General features: G+C 51.5%; 1 protein-coding gene across 1 annotated transcript, besides 8 other annotated features; it reads right to left on the reverse strand.

Moving 5' to 3' along the window:
- Positions 4,776-4,945: a silencer, noted in NCBI's record as "silent region_20975". NCBI's record gives its function as "represses an Ori minimal core promoter by ATAC-STARR-seq in GM12878 lymphoblastoid cells {active_cell/tissue: GM12878}" and the evidence as "EXISTENCE:reporter gene assay evidence [ECO:0000049][PMID:35858748]".
- APLN (apelin) lies at positions 12,433-22,130 on the reverse strand. Its single transcript, NM_017413.5, has 3 exons — positions 21,738-22,130; positions 15,795-15,966; positions 12,433-15,091 (listed from the first exon to the last, which is right to left on the reverse strand). The coding sequence occupies exons 1-2, from the start codon at positions 21,802-21,804 to the stop codon at positions 15,800-15,802; spliced, it is 234 nt and encodes a 77-aa protein (NP_059109.3). The 5' UTR covers positions 21,805-22,130; the 3' UTR covers positions 12,433-15,091; positions 15,795-15,799.
- Positions 16,626-17,127: an enhancer, noted in NCBI's record as "H3K4me1 hESC enhancer chrX:128783429-128783930 (GRCh37/hg19 assembly coordinates)". NCBI's record gives its function as "activates a minimal SCP1, AML or CMV promoter by ChIP-STARR-seq in primed H9 embryonic stem cells {active_cell/tissue: H9 hESC(primed)}" and the evidence as "EXISTENCE:reporter gene assay evidence [ECO:0000049][PMID:30033119]".
- Positions 17,128-17,627: an enhancer, noted in NCBI's record as "H3K4me1 hESC enhancer chrX:128783931-128784430 (GRCh37/hg19 assembly coordinates)". NCBI's record gives its function as "activates a minimal SCP1, AML or CMV promoter by ChIP-STARR-seq in primed H9 embryonic stem cells {active_cell/tissue: H9 hESC(primed)}" and the evidence as "EXISTENCE:reporter gene assay evidence [ECO:0000049][PMID:30033119]".
- Positions 21,402-21,461: an enhancer, noted in NCBI's record as "active region_29915". NCBI's record gives its function as "activates an Ori minimal core promoter by ATAC-STARR-seq in GM12878 lymphoblastoid cells {active_cell/tissue: GM12878}" and the evidence as "EXISTENCE:reporter gene assay evidence [ECO:0000049][PMID:35858748]".
- Positions 21,752-21,801: a silencer, noted in NCBI's record as "silent region_20976". NCBI's record gives its function as "represses an Ori minimal core promoter by ATAC-STARR-seq in GM12878 lymphoblastoid cells {active_cell/tissue: GM12878}" and the evidence as "EXISTENCE:reporter gene assay evidence [ECO:0000049][PMID:35858748]".
- Positions 21,892-21,971: a silencer, noted in NCBI's record as "silent region_20977". NCBI's record gives its function as "represses an Ori minimal core promoter by ATAC-STARR-seq in GM12878 lymphoblastoid cells {active_cell/tissue: GM12878}" and the evidence as "EXISTENCE:reporter gene assay evidence [ECO:0000049][PMID:35858748]".
- Positions 23,154-23,243: an enhancer, noted in NCBI's record as "active region_29916". NCBI's record gives its function as "activates an Ori minimal core promoter by ATAC-STARR-seq in GM12878 lymphoblastoid cells {active_cell/tissue: GM12878}" and the evidence as "EXISTENCE:reporter gene assay evidence [ECO:0000049][PMID:35858748]".
- Positions 23,254-23,313: an enhancer, noted in NCBI's record as "active region_29917". NCBI's record gives its function as "activates an Ori minimal core promoter by ATAC-STARR-seq in GM12878 lymphoblastoid cells {active_cell/tissue: GM12878}" and the evidence as "EXISTENCE:reporter gene assay evidence [ECO:0000049][PMID:35858748]".

Raw genomic sequence — 25,930 nt, forward strand, 5'->3', positions numbered from 1 at the left:
ACTTAGTGAGGGGATGGGGCTGCAGCAGGCAGTAAGGCGTCTCTAATGCTTTGAATGCATTCACCTGCCTCAGCCCAATGTCACCAGAGATAGGCCATGGGTCAGCGTTCATCCCAGTGGTCCCTCCTGGAGCTAGTAAGGAGACGTCCCTGCTAAAGAGATGTTCAATGTTTAATACACCCAAGCTTCAGTTTACTCCCCTTGAGCTTTTGTTTTCTCATCTGTTGAAGATACCCATGCCTGTCTCAATAACTTTTTATAAAGAAGAGATAAGATGACAACCAGGGCCAGGCACTGTGGCTCATGCCTACAATCCCAGCACATTGGGAGGCTGAGGCGGGCAGATCACCTGAGGTCAGGAGTTCGAGACCAGCCTGGGCAACATGGTGAAACCCCGTCTCTACTAAAAATAAAAAAATTAGCCAGGCGTGATGGCACACAAGAGAATCTCTTGAATCCAGGAGGTGGAGGTTGCAGTGAGATCGCGCCATTGTACCCCAGCCTGGGCAACAGAGTGAAACCCTGTCTCAAAAAAAAAAAAAAAAAGAAAAGAAAAAAGAAAAAGATGACAACCAACCAGCATAGAAAGCATATCCTACCATAATGGCTAGCACTTAGTAGGTGCTTAAAAATGTCACATCTGGAAGGTTCGTTCTAAACATTTGTGCCTGCCCCCACAACGGAAACTTCTCTCCTCCCCAGATCCCCAGATCCATGAATAAGTGGAAGGGCAGAAGCTCCAGTGGTCTTCTGGAAGTCAGAGAACCCAAGTTAGAGGTCAATAACGTCCTGGTGGATTGGGAGTAACCCTACAAACGTGAGACTCTTGTTTTAGCTCTGACTGTCCTAATGGCTGGCGATGGGGCCTTGGGCAAGTCACTTGCCCTTTCTGGTTCTCAGCCTCTCTGTCTGGACTATGAGATGGAGTGGCCTAGACCAGAGGTTTTTCAAATTGTGTTCCACAGAAGCTTGGGTGCCTCAGGGAACTCTGTGGTAGGGAGAGGGATGAGACTGAATGGGTGGGGCTCTGGGCCCCTGAGCCTGCTTTGATGGAATTTATATGTGCCAAGGCTTTAAAAAAACAGTTTGAGGCCAGGCACAGTGGCTCACGCCTGTAATCCCAACACTTTGGGAGGCCGAGTCAGGTGGATCACCTGAGGTCAGGAGTTTGAGACGGGCCTGGCCAACATGGCAAAACTCCGTCTCTACTAAAAATACAAAAATAAAAATAAAAATAAAAATAACTGGGCGTGGTGGCAGGCACTTGTAATCCCAGCTACTACTCAGGAGGCTGAGGCAGGAGAATCACCTGAACCTGGGAGGCGGAGGTTGCAGTGAGCCGAGGTCGTGCCATTGCACTCCAGCCTGGGCAAGAGAGCGAGACTCCATCTCAAAAAAAAAAAAAAAAAAAGTTTGAAAACTCTGACCGCATGCTTTTGGCTTTGATAGGGAAAGAGAGCTCCTTGGCCACTTCCTCAATCCCAGAGTGCATGAGTTCCCTGGCCTGGGAGCAGATACACCAAGAGAGGCACTGGATCCCAAAGGTACCCCAAAGCTCCATTTTCTCCCACACCACCCATCCTGAGCTGTCTTTCTGTCCCAGAACTCCTCTCTGACAGTTCCAACTGCCCAAAACCAGGCTACTTCCACCAGATGCCCTGAGGAACAGTATGGCAAGGGGCCCTGGGCAGGGAAGAGGCTGAGGAGGAGGAACAGGCCCTGGCCACCTCTTTCCTTTAGGAGGGTACGACAGTTCCCAGTGGCCCAACCTCCCAGGGCGTTCTCCCAGAGTGTGGAGGGCGGGGGCCTAATCTGCATTTGGGACAAAGCCTACCCGGTGCTCGAGTGTTGTTGTCATGGAAACTCAAAAGGTGTTATTAGCATCTTTTCAACTCAGTGGCCCTGTGTGGTCCAGTCCATGCAATCTTAGCAGTAGCACACCATCACCCTGGCAACCCATTAGCCTAGTGTTGTTACCATGGAAACTCCAGTAAGGTCGATCAGTCCGGGAAGTTCCCAGAGGAGATAGGCACTGGGAGATCTGCCCAGCAGTGCCTACTCTGAGGGTCTCCCAGCTGACAGTGACCTGCTCTGCATACACTGACAGTAGTTTAGGATCTTTTCCGGAGCGAGCTAACAGTCCATGTGACAGGAAAGAATTTGGCCCTGCAGACTGGCAGGTCTATGCCTCGTTACCATGGAAATGCTGCTTGTCAGGATCTCAAAGCACAGTGCAAAACTAACTCTTCCAGGAGACTGAGGCTGGCAGGAAAGGAGGCTGTGAGCCTGTTCTTCATTCACATGCCCATTCATTCATTCATTCGTTCATTCAGTATTTAGTGCACGCTCATTAATACAGTGGGCACTGCGTATGTCCGAGGCTCTAACTGGAGCAAACAGGTGGGCTCACCAACTCTCTTCAATTGAAAAGTATATTGAGGTGGAGGGGACCATCTTACTTCCTGTGTCAACCTCCACTGGAGGAAAAGGAGTTGACATGCCCAAAGGAATGGAATCGGGGGGTCTCTGTGTGTCGAGGGGTACAGGGAGAATACTTGCTTTCTGTAGCCTCCTGTTTTTCACCTATCCCCTGCTTAAGCCTTCAGGAAACAGATCTTTGTGTGGTCTGGATCACCAAAGGCTTGGCCAGACATGCTAGAAGTTTCCAGCAGCCACAGCTAAGTGAAGTTAGAACAGGCTACGTTGGGAAGCAATGAGCTCCCCATCACTGGAGATGTACAAGCAGAGGCAAAAAATCCTGCTCAGTGAGGGCCATGTAGAGCCCGCAGAGCACAATGATTCAGAGCTCAGATTCTGGAGCCAGATAGCCAGTCTTCAAATCTTGGCTCAGTTTACCAGCTGTGTGACTTTGGGCAATTCACTTAATCATACTGAGCCTTGATTTCCTCATTTGTAAATGGGAATGATAAGAGTTTCTTCCTCATGGGCTTGTTGTGGGGATGAAATGCGTATAATATATAAAGCACTTAGAACAGTACCTAACATATAATTGCTCAAGAAATGGTAGCTTGTATTATCCCTTGATGGCCCAACTAAAGTCCCTGACAAGCTTGGGATTCTATATGACTATGGGTCACTAATCTTCCTGCACACGGAAAATCAGAAAGGGACTCTGGCAAGGGTAAGATTCTGTGCTGACCAGAGAGCTGGCTGAGGGTAGCACCTCTGAGCTTTGAGCTCATCACCACTTGCGTGCTTCCAGCAATAGTTTTCCTTTCCAAGTACTTTTGGATCCATGTCTCAATTGGGCCTAAAGACAACAGCAAAGGGCACAGTTACCATCCCCTGTGATAGATAATGGGAAGTAAAGCTAAGAGCGGGAGAGTGGCTCACCTACCAAGTGGCACAACTGGGATGGAAGCTTTCTCTCTGTCACACCACCTCACAGTCCCCAGGGCCGCCATAAGGGGAGGACAGCAGTTGGGAAGGAGCAAGTCATGGGCTGGGCGGAGGAGGAGCCCAGCATGACAATAACCTATGAAAATCAGCTTTCCACTGTCTGCACTTCTGCAAGGAGGAGTTGAGGCCAAAGCCAGGGAGCAGAAGGGGGTATTTCCTAGAAATGCGGCGGGAGTGGCTGGTGTGCTCCACCCATGGGCAAAGGACAAGGCTCGGCCTGCGTGTGAGCACTCACTTGGAGCTGAACTTGGAGCCTCCAGAGCTCCCATCCCTCTGAGCTCACTCAGAAAGCTTTCCCTTTGGGCAAAGTCCAAGGGGGTCATTCAACTGTGATCTGACACTTCTGCTTTCAACTTAATAGCTCAAGTATTTAACGGATGGCTCATGGCCTCACCAAGGGATTTTGCTTGCCGAGACTAGCAAGGTGGGCTAGTGTTTTCATGCCATTTGGAGGAGCAATGAGAAAGGATTGTTTAAAAAAAAAAAAAACTTTGCCTGAGAACAAGAGTAACGCCCTAACTCATGGCCTCATGAAGCTCCAGGTTAAAATGCACACGTTACCTGGGAGTATGGGAATTGGACAGGGGCAATAGTGAAAAATCTTTAATAGCCAGCAAGGTCTGGACACCAACTGATTAGAATGTTTGCTGGCCAGAAACACGCTATAGGGATGCACCAGCCCAGATAGAGGAAAACAGCAGCCCTGGATGTGGGCCTTGGCAGGGGCCGGGTGAAGGGAGGGTTTGCTCCCTGAGAGGTCCCATGAGCACACGCAGGAATCAGATCTGCCTATGGCCACCAGAAGGTATGAGATTTCCCACAGCAGCTGGTGGTGGGGGGGTGGGCAGGGTTGGTGTATCTGGTAGGGGGAAAACTGGTGGGAACATGGGGTTCACTGAGGGAAGAGCTCCTTGGGACAGCTCGAGGGCCAGACAGCCTAGGACAGTCCTGTAAGGATGCAAATGGGGCCTGGCCTGGCCTTGGAGACCCAGATGCTGCCCTCTGCCCTCACAGACTTCACCCCTGGTGCCTCTGGGTGGCAACTTCTCTCCCTCTCTCAGTGAACATGCATACGGACTATAATATGCTACACAGCGTGGAGCAAATATGCATACCCATTCGGTGTTCACACAAGCACATGCATGGAGCCCACGTATGCCCATGACCTGTAGAGGCATCCTCTCAAGTCAGTGGGGCACACCCACAAAATTGTTCAGACTCAGAATCTTGGAGCAGAAGCAATTTTAGAGCTGCCCCCATTAAAAAAGTCGTCTTTGATGAACGCCAGTCAGCCACTCCTCTACACACACTTTGGCGTTTGCTCGTTCTCACACCTCCTGCAGAACAGGAAAGAGGAGATGACCTCGGGAACTTTCTTAAAATGGCCTGTGCCTAGACTTGACGCAAGCCTGAAGAAGTCCCTGCAGTTCCAGGACTCAGCCAGCAGGGGGCAGCCTCTCATGACACACTGGGTTTCCCCCAAAGAATAAGCAGGCTTGGAGAAGAAAGAGAGGCCGACTGCAAAGAAAGGGAAACATATAAGAAGTTTCCAGAGTGTCCGGCCATCAAGCTGACCCAGATGCATGTAGCCAGCCACTCCTGTGGGTGAGGAATTCTCAGCCCCTCATATTCAGCTGGTGAATTGATAGAGTCTGGGGCAAGTTATCAGAAGAGGATGTCTTAGTGACCATAGTACATCCTGCTTGCCCAGCCTAGAGCCACAGAGGGAATCAGCCAGCACACAGGAGTTCAGTGGAATCTCTCATTCTGCAAGTCACAGCCTCTCTCAGGGCCTGCTTCGTTGTCTGTGAAATGGGTTTAACAATAAATCACATCTGCTTCCTCCCACCTTGGTGCTTTGGACACAAGCCCTGTGCTCCCTCTGCTGAGACCTCCTTTCTCCAGCTTAACCCCTACTCACTCCTGAGGTGTCAGCTCCCACTTCACCTCCAGGAAGCTTTCTCTGACCCCAGATCGTGCACTCAGTGATAAACTTCCTAGAGGCCTGTTTTTCGCCTCCAGGGCCCTTGCCACAGTTCCTGGTTAGACATTCGGTTGTGATTTTTGAATAACATCTGTTTCCCTCTCCAGGTATTAAGGAATGTGGTACAAAGTAGGCCCTCAATAAACATTCAGCGAATGCTGAGAAATGAATTCCCATAGCTCTTTTACAGATCAAAAAGCACTTTCACATGCAAACAGGGTGGTCTTCATGGTACCCGCTGAGAACGATGGGGTTTTTTCCCCGTTACACACACAGCACTCTCTACTGTACCAAACATTTTAACTTCAGAAACTTCAGTCACTAGAAGCCCGAGAGGGAGCCAGGGATTCTTACTTCCATTTTAGAAAAGGTAAAGCTGAGGCCTAGAAAGGTGAAGTGACTGACCCAGGCTTGGAACTTGGAGGAGTCAGGATGTTTAAGTCTCCGCATCCCATGCTGGAAGGTATGATCATTACATTCCCTCATTATCACTGTCAGCATCGTCACCTCCATTGTGGCTATGGCCATGCCTAGTCTGGTGAGGAGGTGTACAGTTGGCGAGCACAAAGGCTTTTGAAGGTGGCGGGCAGAAGTCTGGGTTCCAATTCTGGCCTCACCTGCAGGTGACCATCGGGGCTAGGAGAGCATCCAGGGAGGATTCATGGGGGAGGGGAGCCTTGGCTGGCAGTTGGAGGACCCGGAGAATTGGAGGAAGGTGGAGAACCTGGGAAGGGAAGTCTGGGGAAACTAGAAGAGCACTGGAAATGGGTTTTGGGTGACTTAGGCTGAGGCTTTCCCTGCTTCTGCTTCCTAAAAGATGGGTATGAAGCTCCCTCCCTCGCAGGTCCTGCTGAGGCCGGTGCGCAGGCTCAGGGCCAGGAGAACATCCCTGGGGTTGCGGGGGAGTGGTACAGAGGGCGCTGTGGCTACAACAGCTAATGAGGGATGTCACACCCTCACCACACACCTTTCGCTGGTGCCTCCCAGAGGAAAGGTGAGGACCAAGTCTTTCTCCACTGTTCCTCCTCCACTGTCCCTTGCATGGTGTCCTGCACAGAGTAGGCGTTTTTTTTTTTTCTTTTGCTGTTGTTTGTTTTGCTTGTTTGTTTGAGATGGAGTCTTGCTCTGTCGTCCAGGCTGGAGTGTAGTGGTGCAACCTCCGCCTCCCAGGTTCAACGGATTCTCCCGCCTCAGCCTCCTGAGTAGCTGGGACTACAGGTGCCCACCACCACACGCAGCTAATTTTTGTATTTTGTAGAGACGGGTTTTTGCCATGTTGGCCAGGATAGTCTCGAACTCCTGACCTCAGATGATCCACCCACTTCGGCCTCCCAAACTGCTGGGATTACAGGCATGAGCCACCACGCCTGGCCAAGGGTAGGCATTTTTTAGCTGATTGTTTTGGGGTAGGGGTAGGCCAAAGAGCTCTTTATAGGCTTGGGTTCTAAAAGTTTGGGCATAGATTGAGAGAAGGGGAGCTCCTTTTGAAACTTACACAAGGCATGGGACCTAAAACTTGACAGGCAATTTGGGAGTGGGAATGGGGGTGGGGCAGGCTGTGGAGCTGAGCTAGAGGGTAGCCCAGAGTAGAGGGAAGGATGAAAGAGGATAATCAGATCAGAAGGTCTCTGCAGTGCTGGAGGTGGAAGGGGCTGTGTGGTGAGATTCCCTCCTCCATCCCCCTGCACTCCTCACTGGGACCTTTTTCCTCCCTGCTTTGTTTATCCTCTCTTATCTTTCCATATCCCTCACATCTGAGGAGTTGGGAATTTCCAAAGGAGAGAGGAACTCCAGGCTTCCAGAAAGCTCAGGAGCCTAGAGACATGGGGGATGAAACCCCCCATAACGTATGCCAAAGTCACCAGCCTCTATCCCTACACCTGCTGGGGAGGGAGCCAGAGATGTCTCTGCCTAGATGGAAAAAGAGGCACCCTCTTTCCAACAGGCCTCTCACAGCCCCCAAATCACAAGCAGTTCTGTTGCCCTGGGACTGAGGGTGCCAAAGCGAAGCCCCTCCCCTACAGACGAGAGGTGACTGCAGCCCTGGAGGGAATGCTTGGCATTTCAGCAGTGCCTTTGCCTTCCTTTAAAGCAATGCCACCTTGTTTCTCTCAGTTCGTTTGCACATACCACAGAAGATCTTTAGACTAATGGCTTACCTTCTCAGTGACTCAGTTTCCTCAGCTATAAAATGGGATTGTGATGGGGACTGACTAAGTCAGGACAGGTGAAGTTCCTCAAACAGTGCTTGGCACATGAGAAGCGCTCTACATGAGTTTGCTAGGACTATCTAGCTATGTTCCTTAAGCGTTCACTTATCCTTTCTGAGTCCCACTTTCTTCATTTGTAAAAATAACAGGGCTTAGGGTACTGAATGATCTCTCAGGCTCATGTCAGCTCTGCCCTTCTATGATTCTGTGTGTTTAAGGTAGGGAAAGCAGAGATTGTCATCCTATGAAAATAGATGAGGGAGAACCAGGACCCCTGATAGATGAACAGACCTGCCTGGAGTCACACAGCCAGTTACTGACCAAGCTGGGGTTAGGATCCAGAGCTCAGAACCCCAAGTTTCACACCACCAGGCTAGCTCTGCAGCAGTGTGCCAATTTTTTAACATTCAGGGAAGATCAGAAAGCATTTAATTTGTGCAAAGGGAGAAGTATGGAATGGAGGTTCCAGCAGGCCCTGGGGTTATGGGAAGCTTGTGCAACCCACGTAACCCAGCAGTGGACTTCCTCACTGGCTTAGGTTCCCATTTTCCTGCCATATGCCTAATTCTTCTCCCAGAGCTCCTCCCTACAGGTCCCTGGGTCAGGTCCTGAATTGCCTCTGGAGGGCAGCCTGAATCACCCCCCACTGTTAGCTGGGACCCCAACAAATCCCTAGTCACAAGCAGGTGCTTCACATCTACCCACCCAGGTGTCCTGGGCAGGTGAGGAGGCTGAGACCCAGAAAGGGCCAAGGAAAGACTTTGCTAAGCTACCCAGCAAGCCCTGGGTAGAAGCAGATTCAGGACTGGAACCCACGTTTCTGAGCCCCTGGCCTTGTGCAGAAAGGAACCCCAATGGCCAAGCAGGTGTGCTGGAACAGGTGCCTGGCTCCACAATTCCAGACAGATCAGGTGCTAATGGTGAGCACTTAACACCTTTGGAGAGGCCTCCTGGGCTGCTGCCCAAGCTAAGCTTCTACAAGGAAAAATGCCGAGGACGTAATCTGTCCCTGGGGAGGCCCTAAAGGTTATCTGGGAGACCGGAAATTTCTAGTGACTGAGGCACACTCATGGTGGGAAAGAGGACCCTTAGCAGAAGCAGGGAAGCTATCATAGTTTGTTTTCTGTAGCCACAGACTGGGTAACTTATAAAAAAAATAGTTTATTTAGCTCACAGCTCTGGAGGCTGGGAAGTCCAAGGGCATGGCACTGGCGTCTGGTGAGGGACTTTTTGCTAAATCATGACGTGGTAGAATGGCATCACATGGCAAGAGGGCAAGAGTGTGCCAGCTCAGGTCTCTCTTCCTCTTCTTATAAAGCCACCAGTTCCATCATAGGGGCACAACCCTGATGACCTTATTTAATTTTAATTACCTACCAAAGGCACCACCTCCAAATACCATCAACATATGAATTTAGGGATTAAATTTCCAAAACATGAAGTTGAAGGATGCATTCAAACCATAGCAGCAGCTGACCTGAGCCGGGGACAGACCCAGGTTTGAAGCTCTACTCACCCATGAGTGGCTCTATGAATTTGAACAAGTGACCTCACCTCCATGAGCCTGATTTTTCATCTATAAATTGGGGTAATGATGGCTGCCCTGTCCAGTTCTCAGGGCTAGAATGAGGCTTAACAGAGATAATAATAGCTCCCACTTGGTAGGCTTGTAACATGGGCCGGGCACTGTGCCAAACACTTTCCCTGCATCATCGCGGTCAATCCTGACCACAGTGCTATAAATTGGGCAGCAGCATCCTGCCTAAAGCAGAAACATGGGCTCATCCAGATCAAGACCCTTGCTGCAAGGTCACACAGGTGAGTAAATGGTAGTGCCAGGATTTGAACCCTGATCTGACTCCAGACTTCCCCTTCCACTGGAATCACTTTGTTAGTATGATTATTATCAGAGGCCATCTCATAACCAGTGTATTAAATCACTTAATTCTACACCTTGCTGCAGAATGTAAGTCTTCCCCTTGGACTCCAGGCAAGGGTTCAGGGGCTGAGTTGAAGGGCTTGCTGATGCTTCATTTGAGACAGGGCTGGGAAGCCACCTGCTTTTATAAAGATTTTTTTGGAACACAGTCATGTCCACTGGTGTATGTATTGTGTATGGCTGCTTTTGCATGTGCCAAAAACTTTACCTGCATCATCACAGTCAATCCTGATCACAGTGCTAAAAAGTAGGCAGCAGCATCAAACTCAAAGAGGTTTGAGTTGAGATAGAGACCATATGGCTCAAAAAGTCAAGAAAACTATCTGGCTCTTTACAGAAAAAGTCTGTTGGCGGCTGATTTGAAACATTCAAGGAAGTGTCCTGGATGCGGCTTGGGCCTTTGGCTGAAGTCCAAGACAGCGGCAAGGGGAGTCCCTTGCTGGGCTCCTTCTCTGAGCACTGGCCACTGCATAGGAAAAGCTGGATTTTCAAAGGAGTCCTAGAGAAGAAGCCTTCCTTTCAAGAGTTACCAAGAAATGCTGGCTGAGTCAGCGGCCCTTCTCAAGCCAGGAGAGGAAGATACTGAGTAAATCTCTGCCATCTCCTTTGGCAGTTAGCTGGCACAGGCACACTCTGGTCAGAAAGAAACTTTGGATTGAGAAATTTCAGTTGAGTAACCTTTAGGCTTGGAGAATCGAATTCTATAAGGACTTCAGAATGGCTGCTCAGGCCAGGCCTCATGGTTCCCTCAATACGGAGGAGCCCAGCCCCTACAGGGGGTACCAAGCCAGCTAGGCCTACAGAAGAGTCTGAAATGTTAGATTTCTAAGCAGTTATGGCTCATTTTACACCACACCTGGGGTCCTGAAAAGCTGTGTGTGGTCTGAGTCTGTTTGCCTCCCTAATCTCTGTCATTTCAGAGGCTGCCTAATTCCGGATGGATTTGAAAGAGTGTTGGTTTTCAGATTCTCTGCCCCCACTCGTCAACCTCTCAGTTCAGGACCTCCGGTCCAGAAACAATCAGTTAAGTGAACTCCTATTTCTTTTCCTAAGCTCTGCATTTTGAAAAGCAATGCCCTACTCTGCTTCTGTTGTATTTATTTGGTCTAGATATCTCCAAAGGGTAGTAGCAACGCATATCATATGTTCAGCCTTCTTTTGGTTTGAGGTCTAATTATCTTTACAGAAGCCACCAACTTTCTTTTCCTTATCCCCTGCCCCAAGGAGGTCACACTTGGATCCACCCAATAGTATCCAGTTGACTACGTAGGTTCCATAGACCCTGGTGGCTGCTCCCCCTTCCTTGTCCCCGCCGTCTCTGCCCATCATCCTTTCACCAACTTAACCAAATGCTATTGTGCCTTCTAGGGCCTGTTTTTATCACTCAGCCTCTATTAGCTTTCCCTGATCCCACCAGTCCACACTGTGCCCTCTTGTACTATGAGTTTGTATTGTACTTACTAAGAATAACAAACATAGCTGGGCATGGTGGCTCATGCTTGTAATCCCAGCACTTTGGGAAGCCAAGGCAGGCGGATTACTTCGGGTCAGGAGCTCAAGACTAGCCTGGCTAACCTGGTGAAACCCTGTCTCTACTAAAAATAATAATAATAATAAAAATAAATAAATAAATAAAAATACAAAAAATTACCCAGGCATGGTGATGGGTGCATGTAATCCCAGCTTCTTGGGAGGGTGAGGCAGGAGAAACATTTGAACCCAGGAGGTGGAGGTTGCAGTGAGCCGAGATTGCGCCACTACCTTCCCTCCAGCCTGGGAGACAGAGCAAGACTGTGTCTCGGAAAAAAAAAAAAAAAAAGAATATCAAATTGTACCTAATTCTTCTTTCTAGTTAGGGGACCTTCTGTAGTACTGTAGAAAGAGTTTGCATTCTGGAATTTGAAGACCAGATTCTAGATTCACTTATCTAATTCACTGTACCCTTATGGGTCAGTATTAAGTTGTCCTGCCCCATGCCCCACTCCCTTCTCCTTGCTTTCACGTGAATTTAGAACTTTGGGGATGATTAGGCAGGTAACAGACTAATCAGCATAAAGCCAGTCCACCTGAAACCTCTGCTTAAAACCAGTTCCACCTGTTTGCCTAAAAGTCAAACTAGTAATTTTAAAATAAGGCATTTTGCACCAGTTTTCCTAAGAGGCACTTCCAATGTAACATCACTTTTTTTTTTTTTTTTTTTGAGATGGAGTCTGGCTCTGTCACCCAGGCTGGAGTACAGTGGTGTGATCTCGGCTCACTGCAACCTTCACATCCTGTGTTCAAGCAATTCTCCTGCCTCAACCTCCCGAGTAGCTGGGATTACAGGCACCTGCCACCATACCCAGCTAATTTTTGTATTTTCAGTAGAGACGGAGTTTCACCATGTTGGCCATGCTGGTCTCAAACTCCTGACCTCAAGTGATCTGCCTGCCTCGGCCTCCCAAAGTGCTGGGATTACAGGTGTGAGCCACCGCTCCCAGCCGTAACATTGCATTTTTAAATCACTATCACAACTTGCAGCATTTTGTCAATAATGAGATTGTTTTGTATGCTTGTGGGTGACTTTTTCTATTTTTCTCTCCTATTGATCATTTTTATGACTTTTTAGGGAGTTTGTTTGAAGACCCTTTCTTTAAAATTGTATATTTCTAGCACTAAATACTTGTCAAATCTATAGGATTTCCCACGAGATTTATCAAATGAACCCATTTTGATCCCTCCTCTCTGCTTCTCACTGAGTTTTGCTCTGTACTGTGTATTCCTGTGTGCACCTAATGGGTTTATTAACCAAATTAGCATGTACCCAATGTTCCCTTCTGTTCTGCAAGATATTGGCATTTTGACAACAAACGTGAAGTGATGAGACAGATGGGGCAGAATTATATTGAACTCTTTGCATTTTATTTTTCAGGCTATCTCATTCATCAAGCAACTCTACTTTGTGAAACATAAAATGATACAAACAAAGTCATTATCAAATGTATTTATTGCTGAAAACATAACATTTTTCAAGAAAGGCAAACTGGCTAAAAAGTCCTGAAAGTGTTCAAAAGTAGATAAAATAGCAGAAGACACCCACCAAGGATACAAAACAATTTTTAGTAGCGATCCTGCATTTAATCAGTATGTTCTTAAATAAACTGCTTTAAAAAAATTCTTCAAATGACACTGCCAAAAAAATTAGGACACCCAAACAGATGCCAGAAAACCTGTAAGTGGGCTGGATTTTATGTGACCTGGTCATTAAGCATAGGGATTCATTTTGTGAGCTCATGGCAAATCAGTTTGAGGCCAGTTGACCTAGAACCGATTTGGGATGCAGGCACTTACCTCCCTGCACGTGCAATATGTGGGCATGGGGACACCCATGACCCCCAGGGGAAAGGAATGCCCCTCCTGAACATGACCTCCAAGAGTAAGGGCGAACTGTCAGCTTTTAACTGTTTATTATAAAGACATATTTACACAGAACAATCTTTACAAACATTGAACACAGGGGAAGGGAACAATTTCTTAATGAACAGGGCCTTAATATCTTTGTATAAATTAGTATAAGAATCATAAACAACCACTTTAAATAAGGCAGCCCCCCTAGCCCACCCACTACCCTCTTCTGTTCCCTATCTCCCAGCTTTCTTAGCCATCCCCCACTTTCTCCCCTTCCCCACGGGGCTGGGCTTGGCTGCAGGTCATGGCAGGCCGATGAGGCAGGAGACACAGAAAGGAAGGGGGAAAGAAGGCCCAATCCCTGATGGGGGCGTCAGTGGCAGAAGAGACTTTCTGGGCACCGACCAGTCCCCACTCCAAGCATGAGCCTTTAAGCAGCAGCAGCAGCAGCAGCAGCGTTAGCAGCAGCATAGGTAAAGGGGCTTGGGGGAGGTGGATAGGCAAACATTGGGGCTATTGTGGGACTTGGGGGGCCCTGACTCCCCCGTCCCCACACACACAAAGTTGGGCATCAGGCTCTTGTCTTCTCTTTCTCCCTCCTGGGAACCCTGCTCAAGCAAAAGGGGAGAAAGCCCCCTCCAAGGAATGGCTGGTGATGGCCCCTCACGGAAGCTAGGGCCTCCCGGGGAGAGGGTGCTATTCCTGCTGCACTTCCTCCCATCTTTCTTTCCTTCCTTCTGTTCCTTTGCTTTCTTTTCTTCCCTCCTTCCTTCTGCCCTTCCCTTCCTTCTTCTCCCCTCTCCGCCTCCCCCAAAGGAAAAGCCCTGGAAGGAAGGTCCGGTCAACACGAAGGGAAGGCCATGGAGTCCAGTGATTGAAGGCTACCTCGGACTCCTGAAAACCACCCTGGGGTTGAGCGGTAGTCTCAGTGCCTGAGCCGCCCCTATTAGAGTACCCTGGGTCTGGGAATGCTGCCAGTTATGGGGGCAGCTGGCCAGTTATGGAACCTTCCAGCCCAGCTGGGGGAATGGTGCAGCAGGGGTAGGTCAGGGAGGTGGGAGCAGCTCCAGCCCCACAACAGGACAGTTCACAGCCAGCTTGCCTCTCCCTTCCCTTCCCCTCCCAGCCACCCCCAGCCCCAGCCTCGGGAAAAGGCACTTCATTTGCTTTGAAAAGACATCATCAAGAGGGAAGAGGGCGTCATAAAGTAGGAGATGGGAGACCTGGTCCCCATCCCGGCTCTGCAATGACTCTGAGCAGGTCACTCCCCTCTCCAGGCTTCTGTTTTGCAGGCGTTTGCCTAAGAAGGCTAAGTGACCTTCAAGGGTCCTGTCAGCTCTAACATTCTGTGATTCTTGGCAAAAACAACCTCTTGCTTGGCTTTTACTCCTGGGAGGGTATATAGCCATGTCAGGCCCAGCACCCTCCCCTCCTGACCTGGAGCTTGGGCTAGCTGGGGATGGGGTGTGGGGGCAGGAAGAAGGGAGTATTGGGAGGCACACTAAGGCAAGAGAAGTGACAAAGGACTTCACGGGCCCCTCTCTACCTCTCCCTTAACTGAGCAAACGCTGATGCTCCACCCACTTCACCAGAGCTCCTGAAAACCACCCTGGCACTTCCATGCCCCCAATGTGCCCTGTCTGGATCCCCGCAGCCAGCACCTCTTAACTAGAGTCTCTCCTTGCTTTTCTCTGCATTCTTCCCTGGAGGCCAGGTGAGGGGTCCAACTGACAGGAAAACAAGGGATCTGCTGGAGCCCACAGAAGGGAGCACTTCCACCCCGCGCTCAGGGCAGACATGAGGAAGGAAGGCCCAAATGAAGGTTTGGGGCGTTAGATGAGACAGGCAGGGACTAGGGCGGAGGGGACCTGGAGAAGAAGGGAGGCTTTCTGGGGCTAGGTCTCCAAAGTCAGTCCAGGGAGGGGCCAGGAAGATGGACTGGACGGATTCTTGTGAGAGAACGGGAATCATCCAAACTACAGCCAGGAGCACGCCACTGGGGGAAGCAGGCAGGTGAGAAGAGCTGGGCCCACTGGTGGCTACAGCAGGTGCGAGGTGAGAGCTGAATGGACGTGAGGCCTCCAGAGAAGCAGACCAATCTATGGAGGAGACATAACCGCCGGGGGTGGGCACTTGGGGGCCCCTTCAGTCCTAAGGAGACAAAAATGACAAGAGAGAAGTCATGGACATATCCTAGGCCAAAGGAACTCCCCAGGAAAGGAGAGGAGAGAGGAGACCGCCTTCTCTTTCCCCCAAACTCCACTCAGCCCAAACCTCAATCCCAAGGCCCCTGAGTTGGTGCCTGCCTGTCCCCACTGCAGTGGGACAGCCAGCAGACCAGGGAAGGGGCAGGCTTCAGCTCTCCTCTCTCTGCTGCCACCTTGGTTCTTCCCTCCTTCTCACAGCTCCGGGCAACCACAGCCACAACTGTCCTCTTGTTCTCTGCCTGAGAGCCCCTAGAGCTCTCTGCCTCCTTCCCCAACTCTGGCGACAATCTACACTGGACATCTGTAGGTTTGCCCTGGGCACCCCTCCCCAGCCATTAAGGTCCACCAGGATGTCTAGAAATCTCTAAGCAGGCCAGCCTCCCCAACCCCAGGCAGCAGGGTGGAAGGGAGACTGGCCCCAAGTATCAAGCCCCTCTCTAGGCCTCAGACGAGGAGATCGTCTGTAAAATAAAGGGGCTAGACAGCTGCCCCATAAGCTCTCTTGCCAGCTCTAAGCCTCTGTGAGTGTGGCGCCAGGACTGTTTGATGGATGTGTCTGGCCAGTGATGAGCGGCAGGATCACCCGGCTTCTAGGCTGTCCTTCTCCCTCCGCTTTAGCACTGTCCACTGAACAGAGGCTCAAGTACCTGCTTCAGAAAGGCATGGGTCCCTTATGGGAGAGGCGGGGCCGCTGGCGGCGGAATTTCCTCCGACCTCCCTGCCAGGGCCCTGGCCCATTCCTTGACCCTCTGGGCTGCACCAGGTGGCGGACATTGCCGTCTTCCAGCCCATTCCCATCGGGAAGCGGCATCAGGGACCCTGCAGGAAGGAGAAAGCCTGTTAGTGAGGAAGGTTGTTGGAAACGGGCAGGGGCTGCAGACCACAGGCCCGCGGGAGGGGTGGTCTGTCCATGTGGTGGCACTTCTCATAGATTTTCTTTGTTTCTTTTTTTCATATTGAGGGAAAATTTGCCATTTCTGCACTGTCCTGGGACAAACGGAACCTACTACTCACATCTTGCCATTGATGTAGCTGACTTTCTGTCCTTTTGACAGTTATATCATGTTTCTGACAGGCACAAGTGGGTTCTTTCTTTGGAACGTCATTGGGGGGTGTGCACTTTGGGTTGTCACGCCTGTACTTGGCTGGGGGGCAGGAGGCAGTAATCACCACGGCACCCCTGCAACTGGTACACTTCAAACATTTCAGACATATGACATTACAATGACCCTCCCACCGCCATGGACCCATCACCCAGATTCAACAGTTATCCAGATGGAGTCACATATGCTTTAGTTATCCCTTTTCTATTTTCCTTGACTGCAGTATTTTAAAGCAAATCCCGAACATCACGTCATTGTACTCCTACATCCTTTGATATGCAGGATGACCCACTTGTGAGTACTAGGGAGCTCATATCTCGCCCCTGGGTGTCTCATCGGTGGTTAGGCATCTCTAGGGCGCCAAGTCCTCCCAGTGGATGGGGCTGGGCCAGGCGGGTTAAGGGGGAGAGGTCTCTGACTCAGCCTGCCTCATGCTGTGACCAGATTTAGAGACCTGAGACCAGATTTAGAGACCAATAAATATTGCATGAATATTTGAGAATGAATAAATGAAACAATGGTCACCTTCAGCAGCATGTCTGTGCACCAGGAGGGGGGTGGGCTGTTGCAGTTGGTACCTCCCCACCAATGCCCTACCTCCTGAAATTCCCAGATCACACCCTGCATCCTGTGTCTCATGTAAATTCCTTCCATTTCAATCCCAGCTGGCTTCTATTCTGCACTCTGGGGCTCCTCTTTACATCTGTCCACATCTGTCAGGAGGCTTAGAGTAGAGGCCTCCTGACACCAGACTGAGCCCTGACAATGGAATCCAAGTGGTGCAGGGTATCCTTGGGTGCAGTGAGGGAAAAGGCATGCAGGCCGACTCTCGTGAAGCCTGCAGTCCATGCAGGGAAGCTGAGCTGCCACCCCCAAGACAAGCCTGGCTGGTGGTGGCAGGCAGTGTGTGGAGATGAGATGGTGCTGGGGAAGAGGCAGCCAGGCAGGGTACTTGTGCAATGTCCAGTACAGGCCTGTGCAGATACAGCATCTGAGGCCAGAGATAATGAATAACAGTCTCTCTCCCCCTGCACACCATCTGATTTGCCTGCATCTAGATCCCTGTCCCTCGAGCCCCATTGCCATCTACCCAGGAATTCCCACCACTTGCTCACAGTTTCCATAGAGCCTCCCATTGGCTGCTCACACCCCAATCATACCCCTGGCAGCTCCCCCTTCCCCTCTGCCTCTGCCTCCAACATCCCCACGCTCTGTTCCTTCCTTGGCTCCTTGGTTTTTGTGAGTCCTCCTCTGCTTGCACACAATTTCCAAGTGTTCAGCCTCCTCTTGGGCCAAAAGTGGGTGGGTTTGGCCTTAGGGCCCTCTTCCCCCAGGCTTCTGAGCCTGCAGTTCTCCCCACTCACACCCAGACATACCCACCCCCTCCACACACACACACATAAACACATATTCTCCAAGCCTGCACCCTCCTTCCCTCTTTCCCCAAGAAAAATTGCCAGGCCCATGAGGACCCCGCTGTTGACTTGGGTCATTTGGTTAACTAGCCACACTTCCGTGCCAACTTATCCCTTAAATTCATAACCTATGAGAATTAAAAGAAGAATTATCTTAGCACTTTGGAGCAGTAAGTATGGATGGAACAAGGGGGCTGCTTCTGTCTGACTGTCATAGAGCTACCCTCTTGGCGCCATCTGTGAGGGGGCTGGGGCTGGAGAGGGAAAGGAAGGAAAGACCTTCACTAAGCTCCCCACTGCAGCTGCTTCAGCCTCTGCCTTGAGTTCTGGGGTCCCCACAAGGCTCACCCTGATCACTGAGGGCGGATCTGAATGATGCTGATAAGGAGCAGGGGAAGGACCTAGGGGCCTTGTGAAGTGAACCAAGTCAACACTTGGCTCTCACCTCTGCACCTTCGACTGCTGGGGGTGCAGAAGGGATGGGGCAGTGGTGCAGGCCATTGTAGCTCAGGGTGGTGGCAGACATGGAGAAGAGAAGCATGGTGCCAGGAGGGGGAGGGCATCATCTCCAGGTGCTCAGATTGTGAGTGTCTGGCAGTCAGAAAGGGAGGGCTAGAGGCCATATGTCAGGATGGGGAGCAGGGTTGGTGGCTCTGGCCAGGAAGATGTCTAGACTCTAGGTCTGCAGAGAAGAACCACTCTGAGCTGACTGAACCCCCAGCCGGGCCCTGGAGAGCAGCCCCAGGCTTCTTGCATCCCTCCCATTGCGTTGGGGACTCATTGTCCTCAGCATCACCGAGATCTGCTGGCTCCTCCCGCACTCTGAGCCCGTCACCCACCTGTTTCCTACTTTTGATTCTGAGTCTGGCTCACCATCAGATAAGCTGACATCTGAAACCCTGGCTTTATGCTGTCCAAAGGAACAAATTAGAGGCTGTTGATTCTCATCACTGCAGAAGTCTTGACTGTAAAAAAGAATTCCCCTTTAGAAATGGAGGCCAGCCCTAATGCACTTAAATATTTTCTTCCAGCTCATTTGCTACGTAAAAGGAGGCTGGAGCAATCCTCCAAACAATCTCGAGCCTAGAGAGATTGGAGCCATTGCCTGCTGAAGTGCCATCAGCCACGAAGCTACAACATCTCCACGCTGAGAACCACAGTCAGGGGGAGGACAGGATTTGACTTTCATGCTATCTGAACTCCAACCCTGCCAATGCACAAAGAGGTACTTGCGACTTTTCAGGAACATGCCAGTCTCATCAGGAATGACGCACCTGTTTTTCCTCTCTCAGTCTGGCCTGTCTTGTGATGACTTTAAAAGCCCAAACGTATGCTCCGGTGGGGACCCTGCTGGCAATGCCCCTCCACTGCTCTGTGGTCCTGCATGTGTCTCTTTGTCTGCCCAGCCCCCCATCCCAGTCGCCTTCTCCAGGGCCCTGTGCTGTCTCCAGTGCCAGCTTTGCTGCCCTGGGATACATCATGCTCTGTCTGGTGGCCCTCTGCTTCCCTTGCCTTAGTTCTTTGCGAGGAGAGGCCTGGCTCAGGTTACACGGGTGCTTAGTGCTGAGGACTGGGGATGGAGTAGAGATGCCCTTCCCTGAGCAGGAGGGGTACAGTAGGCTCTCCTCACACTCCCACTGTGACTGCAGGCTTTGAGCTGGGCCTGCGGAGGGGGAGGAGAAGGGGAAAAAGAGGGGTGCTCAGAGACCGAGGGACACTTGGCCCTGGACCAGGAGTTCTCAGACTCACAAGAGCAAAGTGTATCCCAGGTCAGGAGGCAGTGGAGGAGTGTACGTGGTGGTAGCGGGGTGATGAGAGGCAGCGTGGAGAGGGGTCGGGGGTGGACATTTCAAGTCAGGACAGACTGTGGAGAGGAGGAAGTGTGGTTTTCAGGCTGGAACTTTGACTGGGGACTCTGGCTGGGGACAGCATGCCAGTCCGGGCCAAGGACAAAGTGGTTCTGGGATTCCTGCTTCTAACCCAGGACAGGAGCCAGCGGGAGCAGGACATGTGTACCTGGACCCTTGGCTGGTGGCCACTTCCAGGGACATGCCCTTCCTTGGCTCCAGGAGAAGTCAGGGAGTAGAGAAGTCAGTGAGAGCCCTGAAAGTTTCCAGCACGAGGCTTGAGCAAAATGTGAGGGCAACGAATTTATCCAAATCACAGTGGACAGATGACCTAATGAAGACGGGGGAATTAAAGCACGAAGTGGCAGGCTCTGGACCAGCCACATGGTGTTCGGGCATCCTGGCTGACTTCCCTTCCCTTGAAACCAGCTCTCTCCCCTTTGCTAGTACTGTCCCAATGGCTGGGACCCAGGAGGGTCTGAGTGGTTGTCTATTGGCCAGGGGTCTCCCCACAGCCTCTGGGGGGAGCACCAAGTGTGCAGATCCAGGAGCCCTACCTTCCTCTGGAACACTCTCTGCACCCAGTCTTCTTCTTCCCTGAAGGCACCACCCTGGACTATTTGCCTGTGGTGGTATTGTGCAAGTGTCATGCCTTGCCAATGACACCAGATGGTAGGCTCCCTGAGGATAGGCTGGTATGGTGTATCATTCGTATCTTACATTCGTATCTTTTGCTCCCTCTGTTACCTGCCTGACAGGAGTTTCTGTGGAAAAAGCCTACCCACTTCTTACTGTGGTGGTGGCTCACTTCGTGTTCAGGTCTTGAATAGAGAAATCACCGGCCAGCTACCTGGAGGCAGGAGGTGCCAGCCCCAACCACTGCACCTTTCTGAGAAGCCAGGCAGTGTTCCCAGAGCCACAGCAGGGCCAAAAAGCAAGAGCAGAGAAAGGAGGTGGCCTGCGATGAGAGGCAGGCAGAGCTGGCTGGGCCCCTCGGAGGCTCCTGGGCTGCATGCCATCCTCCTGTTCTGGAGGGTTTGGAACCACTTAGGGCCCTGTGCCCTTGCCCCAGGAAACTCACTGCCCTGCCTTCTCCTTCTTTCTGCTCCCACCTCCCTGTGACTCCAGCCATGGTCCTGGCGTTAGTCCACCTGGTCTTGGCCTTCCCCTTGTGTGGTGCCAGGCAGGCAGCAATGACAGCCAGATCATAGGACTGTGGCAGCTGGAGGTGGGAGCTGGCAGCCCCAGGAGACATTGACACAGAGGACAGGCAGCCTGGGATGGGGCTGCTGGGGCGTGGTTGGGGACCAGGCTAGGGGCGGACATGGGCACTAGTGCCAAGTATTGGCAGGTGAGGGCAAAAGGACTCCCCTTTCCTGAGCTGCAGGGAGGGGTCGGGTCAGGTGCTGTGCTTCCTCCTTTGGTGCCTAGCGGCAGGGAGACTAAAGTGAAGCATGTCCGTGCCTGGGACAGAAAGGAAGGCTGGAGCCAGGATGTAAGAGAACCAAGTCTCTGGGGGTGGGATGGAGGCTATGGGGAGGGCATCCTGTGCAGGGGAGGAGACCAGCCAGGACCTTGGGGTTAGGGAGGAGAAGACCAGCCCAGCCCGGCTGGGCCCGGCCCTGCCTGGGGGAGGCTGCCTCTGCTCACACATGCAGGCCGAAAGGAGCAACAGCTGGGCTCCATGCCGCCACCCCCTCCGCGCACTCCTGCCTATGCAACAAGTGTCACGTCTGCATGTTGGCACATCATCCCCGGTTTCCCGCGCCCCTGGACTGGCGGGAGGCTCCCAGCCTTCAGGGACCAGAAGACGTTCAACATGGGAGCCCAGCCCACTCGACTCTGGTCAGTTCCTTCCATCGATCCACGAGGGAGCGGGCATGTCCCCCGCCTCCACCTCTACCACGCGGGGTGCAGGGCGTGGGACACGCGGCGCACACCTGTGGTCCTGAGCTCCTGGGACTGCGAGCGACGGTTAGGAGGGACAAGGTGACGGGCAGGTGATGCCAAAGGCCGAGTTGAGCCCCGCAAAAGAAGCAGTCCTTGTGGCCAGCCGCCCCATGGCTCGGGGCGCTCTGTCAATCTGCTGCCTGGCGCTGGCCGGCGCGTGGCTGCTACTGCACGGCTCGCGCCGGGCTCCCCGGGAGGCGGGGAGAGTGCGAATAGGGCGGAGGGAAAGGAGCACGCCGGCTGCAGCCCGGGCGAGCGGGAGGGCGCGCACTCACCTCCACACACCGCGGTCAAGGAGAGCCAGAGCAGCAGGAGCGCCTGCACGCAGAGCCGCAGATTCATGCTGCTCCTTGGGCCGCCGCGGCCCCGGCGAGCCGGCGCGGGGGAGGAGAGGTCGGGCGCCCGGAGGCCAAGAAAGGCGCGAGCCGCGGCTGGCGCGTGCGGGCGCAGAGCTCGGGAGGCTCCCCGGCCGCTGAGTGTGCGCGCTGAGCCCCGCCGCTCCCGCTGGCCGCCTCCGCTCTTCTGCAGCCTCCTCTCCCGCCGCGGGGCAGCGCCGCGAAGCTGGCCTCGGCGGCTCCGGGAGCGGCAGCGGCGAGCTCTTTCTTAGCGGCTGGCTGCTCGGCCGCGGCTGCAACTGCCCGTGACCCCGGCTGCCAGAGAGAATGCTCCCCGCTCACTCCAGGGGCTGCATTTTGTAGCTTGTGGCTTGGCCGCGAGCCCACTTGGTCATGTGGTCATCGGGAGGGCTAGAGGGGGGGCAGGAAGAGGGAGAGGGAGCGAGCCTCCCGCACCGCCCCCCTCCAGGCACGCACTCTGCAGCCCCAGCCCGAGCGTGAGCGCGAGAGGGAACCCCGAGGTGGCCCCACAACAAAGGCTGCGCGGCCTCTCTGACAACCTACAACCGCTCCCCGGACAATGCCCGCCTGGCCGGGGGCCAGAGGGTTTGCAGAGACCTGAAGGATTTCAAACACAGGAAGCATTTGGGGCGGTGGAGGGGCACACTTAACCCTTTCTCACCTTGCTTCCTTAACAGCTGTCAGGAAACCTGGGCGCTTAGGGAAGGACTCAGTCTGGGTTGCCTTCACTCACGCCCTCTACCTCTGACCCTGGTCCTTGCCCTTGCCGCTGGCCAGCTTCAAGGGTTTGGTCAAGACAACCAAACACTGGCCCTCCTCTCTCCTCTGCATTTTCAACTGGCTTTGAATTGGGGGTGACTGCCTAGGCTTGTGCCCAAGGCTTGATTAATTGCCCAGGCCCCTCATGTTCCCTGCATCCCCCAGGAGGCACCCTCTACCTGGAATGCCCCCACCCCACCCTTCCGTGAGCAATTCATTCTTTGCAGCAGCACCTCAAATCCCATCGCATCCAGAAGCCTTCTCAGGATAACACTAATCCAGCAGGGGCCGCCCATCAGCTCCTCCCCACTGTTGGGACATGGGACAGCTCCTATGGTCTACCCTTTCTTGTTCCCTGGAGCTGTCCTCATTCTAGTTCCCCATCAACGTAAGAGGCAGGTGGTTTACCCAACTCCACACAGTCAAGGCTGGATTCATTTTGCGTGTACTTGCGATTCCGCTTTAGAAGCGGGTCCTGAAGTTGTTTGCCTTTCCAGACTCGATTGTTAGCTGCTTCTATAGCTTGGGAGCTCCCAAGGCATGGGGCTGCTTCCCTCATTGGACTGGGAACCCCCTAAGGTAGGATACTGTCTTCTCACTCTTCTGGATCTCTCCAAAGTCCCCAATATCTTGCTCTGCACATAGGTGGCACTCAACACATATTAAAAGACTGAATCGAAAGGTGTCTCCACCTTTCAGCAAGCCAGGCAGTTTGCTTGAAGTGTTAAGTCCAGATTTACACAAAAGATACATTGGACAGGGTGCGTGTGTGCCATAAAAGACATGAGAGACCATGGCATATTTAAAATATCTTTGAAATGTTGCAAAAATCCTATATATACACAATGTATTTATTATCAGTCTCTCTCCACCAGAAGGGTTACCTCCACAAGGGAGGGATCTTTGCTTTGTTCACAGCTGTGTCCCCAGACCTAGAACAGTACCTGCGACATGACTGGTACTCAATACATAATTTTGAATATATAAATGAAATTTTCAAAAACATCTTTACTGCCTAAATTCAGGTAGCAGGAAGGGAATAAGATAAGGTTCTCATTAATAGCCTATGGCCCATTAACCACACTCAAGTAAAAAAAAAAAGCATGTGAAGCATGGCACCCCTCTTCATCCTTGAGACCCAGGATATGAGTAGCAGACATGGGTAGCAGGAGACCATTCTCCCTTCACTGTTCCCCTGGAAAGAGTTTGCTTTCTTTCTCTTTTCTTTTTCTTTTTTTCTTTTTTCTTTCTTTCTTCTTTTTTTTTTTTTTTTTTTTGAGACCGAGTTTTGCTCTGTCGCTCAAGCTGGAGTGCAATACCCTATCTCAGCTCACTGCAACCTCCGCCTCCCAGGTTCAAGCGATTCTCCTGCCTCAGCCTCCTGAGTAGCTGGGATTACAGGCATGCGCCACCATGCCCGACTAATTTTGTATTTTTAGTAGAGACGGGGTTTCACCAGGTTGGTCAGGCTGGTCTCGAACTCCTGACCTCAGATGATCCACCCGCCTCGGCCTCCCAAAGTGTTGGGATTACAGGCGTTAGCCACCACGCCTGGATGGAAAGCATTTTCTAACCAGGAGGAGAAACACCTGGCTTCTAGTCTCCACCCTCATTTGCTGTAGGGCCTTGCCATCATCACCTAAACTTACTGGGGTTCATGGAGGTGATAATCTCTGCTCTACCCACTTCAAAGTTGTTATGGGATTAAGTGAGATAATGTGCCTGAAGGTACCGTGCAAATTAAGAATAAGCTCTTGCAGGGTTGTTTTTAGGAAACTTGGTGCTCCAATCCTTGATTGGGCAAGCCCATGCACACCCAAATAAGTGTCCCCCATAACTAGGTTAATAGAAGCCTTCATATTTAATTGCACCTTTACTAGGGTGTGTATGGCATATTGCTAAGTGGTTGGAACACATAGCGCTTTCTAATACAATAGCCACTAATCATATTTCCAATGAAGTTTAAAATTCAGTTCCTCAGTTCCACTGGCCACGCTTCAATTGCCTATATGTGGCTAGTGGCTACTGTATTGGACAGCACAGAATAGAATCTTCAATCACTGCAGAAAGTTCTATTGGTTAGAGCATTCATTCATTCTTCTTTTTTCTATAATCCATTTTCCCACCCTACCTAGCCTTCAAAATGTACAAGGTGAGGGGAAAAAAAGCATAAAAGCAAACCAATAGAAATTCAAGCCAAGCTGAAGGCATGCGTTTAGAGTAAGATTTAAAGATCTGACACTTGGGAGAATCATTTTTTAATTGAATCCTTCTCTTCATTTAACCAAATTACATCCATTTTTTTTTAGAGGCAGGGTCTTGCTCTGTTACCCTAGGCTGAAGTGCAGTAGTGCAATCACAGCCCAATGCAGGCTCAAACTTCTAGGCTCAAGTGATCCTCCCACCTCAGCCTCCCAAGTAGCTGGGACTACAGACATGCACCACCATACCAGGCTAATTTTTAAATTTATTTATATTTTTTGTAGAGACTGAGTCTTACTATGTTTCTCAGGCTGGTCTTAAACTCCTGGTCTCAAGCAATCCTCCCATCTCGGCCTCCCAAAGTGCTGGGATTACAAGTGTGAGTCACCATGCCTGGCCACATCTGTTTTCGTAGTCCCAGATCCAAGATTTCATCTTTCTTTCTCAGGACACCCTTGCCCACAGTGACTTTGCCCTCTCCATAACAGCTATGGCTGTACCTGTCATTGGTAGGTCCTCTCACAGTGCATCAGGAACACTTTTGCATCTGCACACTGTGCTCTACGGGCCTGCTGTAATTCTGCAGAGAGGACCCATCACCACCATATCCATTCAGGGGTCAAGGCCCATGAGGCAAGGAACGCAGCTCTGATTGCCCACTCTGAACCCCTTGTAGGCTCCCAGATATCTTAATATCAGATTGAAATGACCAGTTTTCGAATATCTGTATCTATTTGCCAGACTTTAAGGTCACTGCTGTGATAGCACCTAGCACAATGCCTGGCACATAATTGATACTTCATAACTGCCTGTCAGGTGAGCAACTGTCGGCCCAACACTGTGCTGTCTTTTGTTCAGGATACTATTGAATGAATATCAGCAGGATAAATGTTTTAAGGCATAAGTCTCCAATCCCTGGGCCATGGACCACTATGGCTCCCTGTTCTATTAGGAACCAGGCCTCACAGCAGGAGGTGAGCAGCAGATGGGCCAGCGAAGCATCATCTGTATTTACAGCCGCTCTCCATTGCTCCCATTACCACCTGAGCTCCACCTTCTGTCAGATCAGCAGTGGCGTTACATTGTCATAGGAGCACGAACCCTATTGTAAACTGCATGTGTGAGGGATCTAGGTTGCATGTTCTTTATGA

Source organism: Homo sapiens, chromosome X, assembly GCF_000001405.40.
Source record: "Homo sapiens chromosome X, GRCh38.p14 Primary Assembly".
Taxonomy (NCBI): domain Eukaryota; kingdom Metazoa; phylum Chordata; class Mammalia; order Primates; family Hominidae; genus Homo; species Homo sapiens.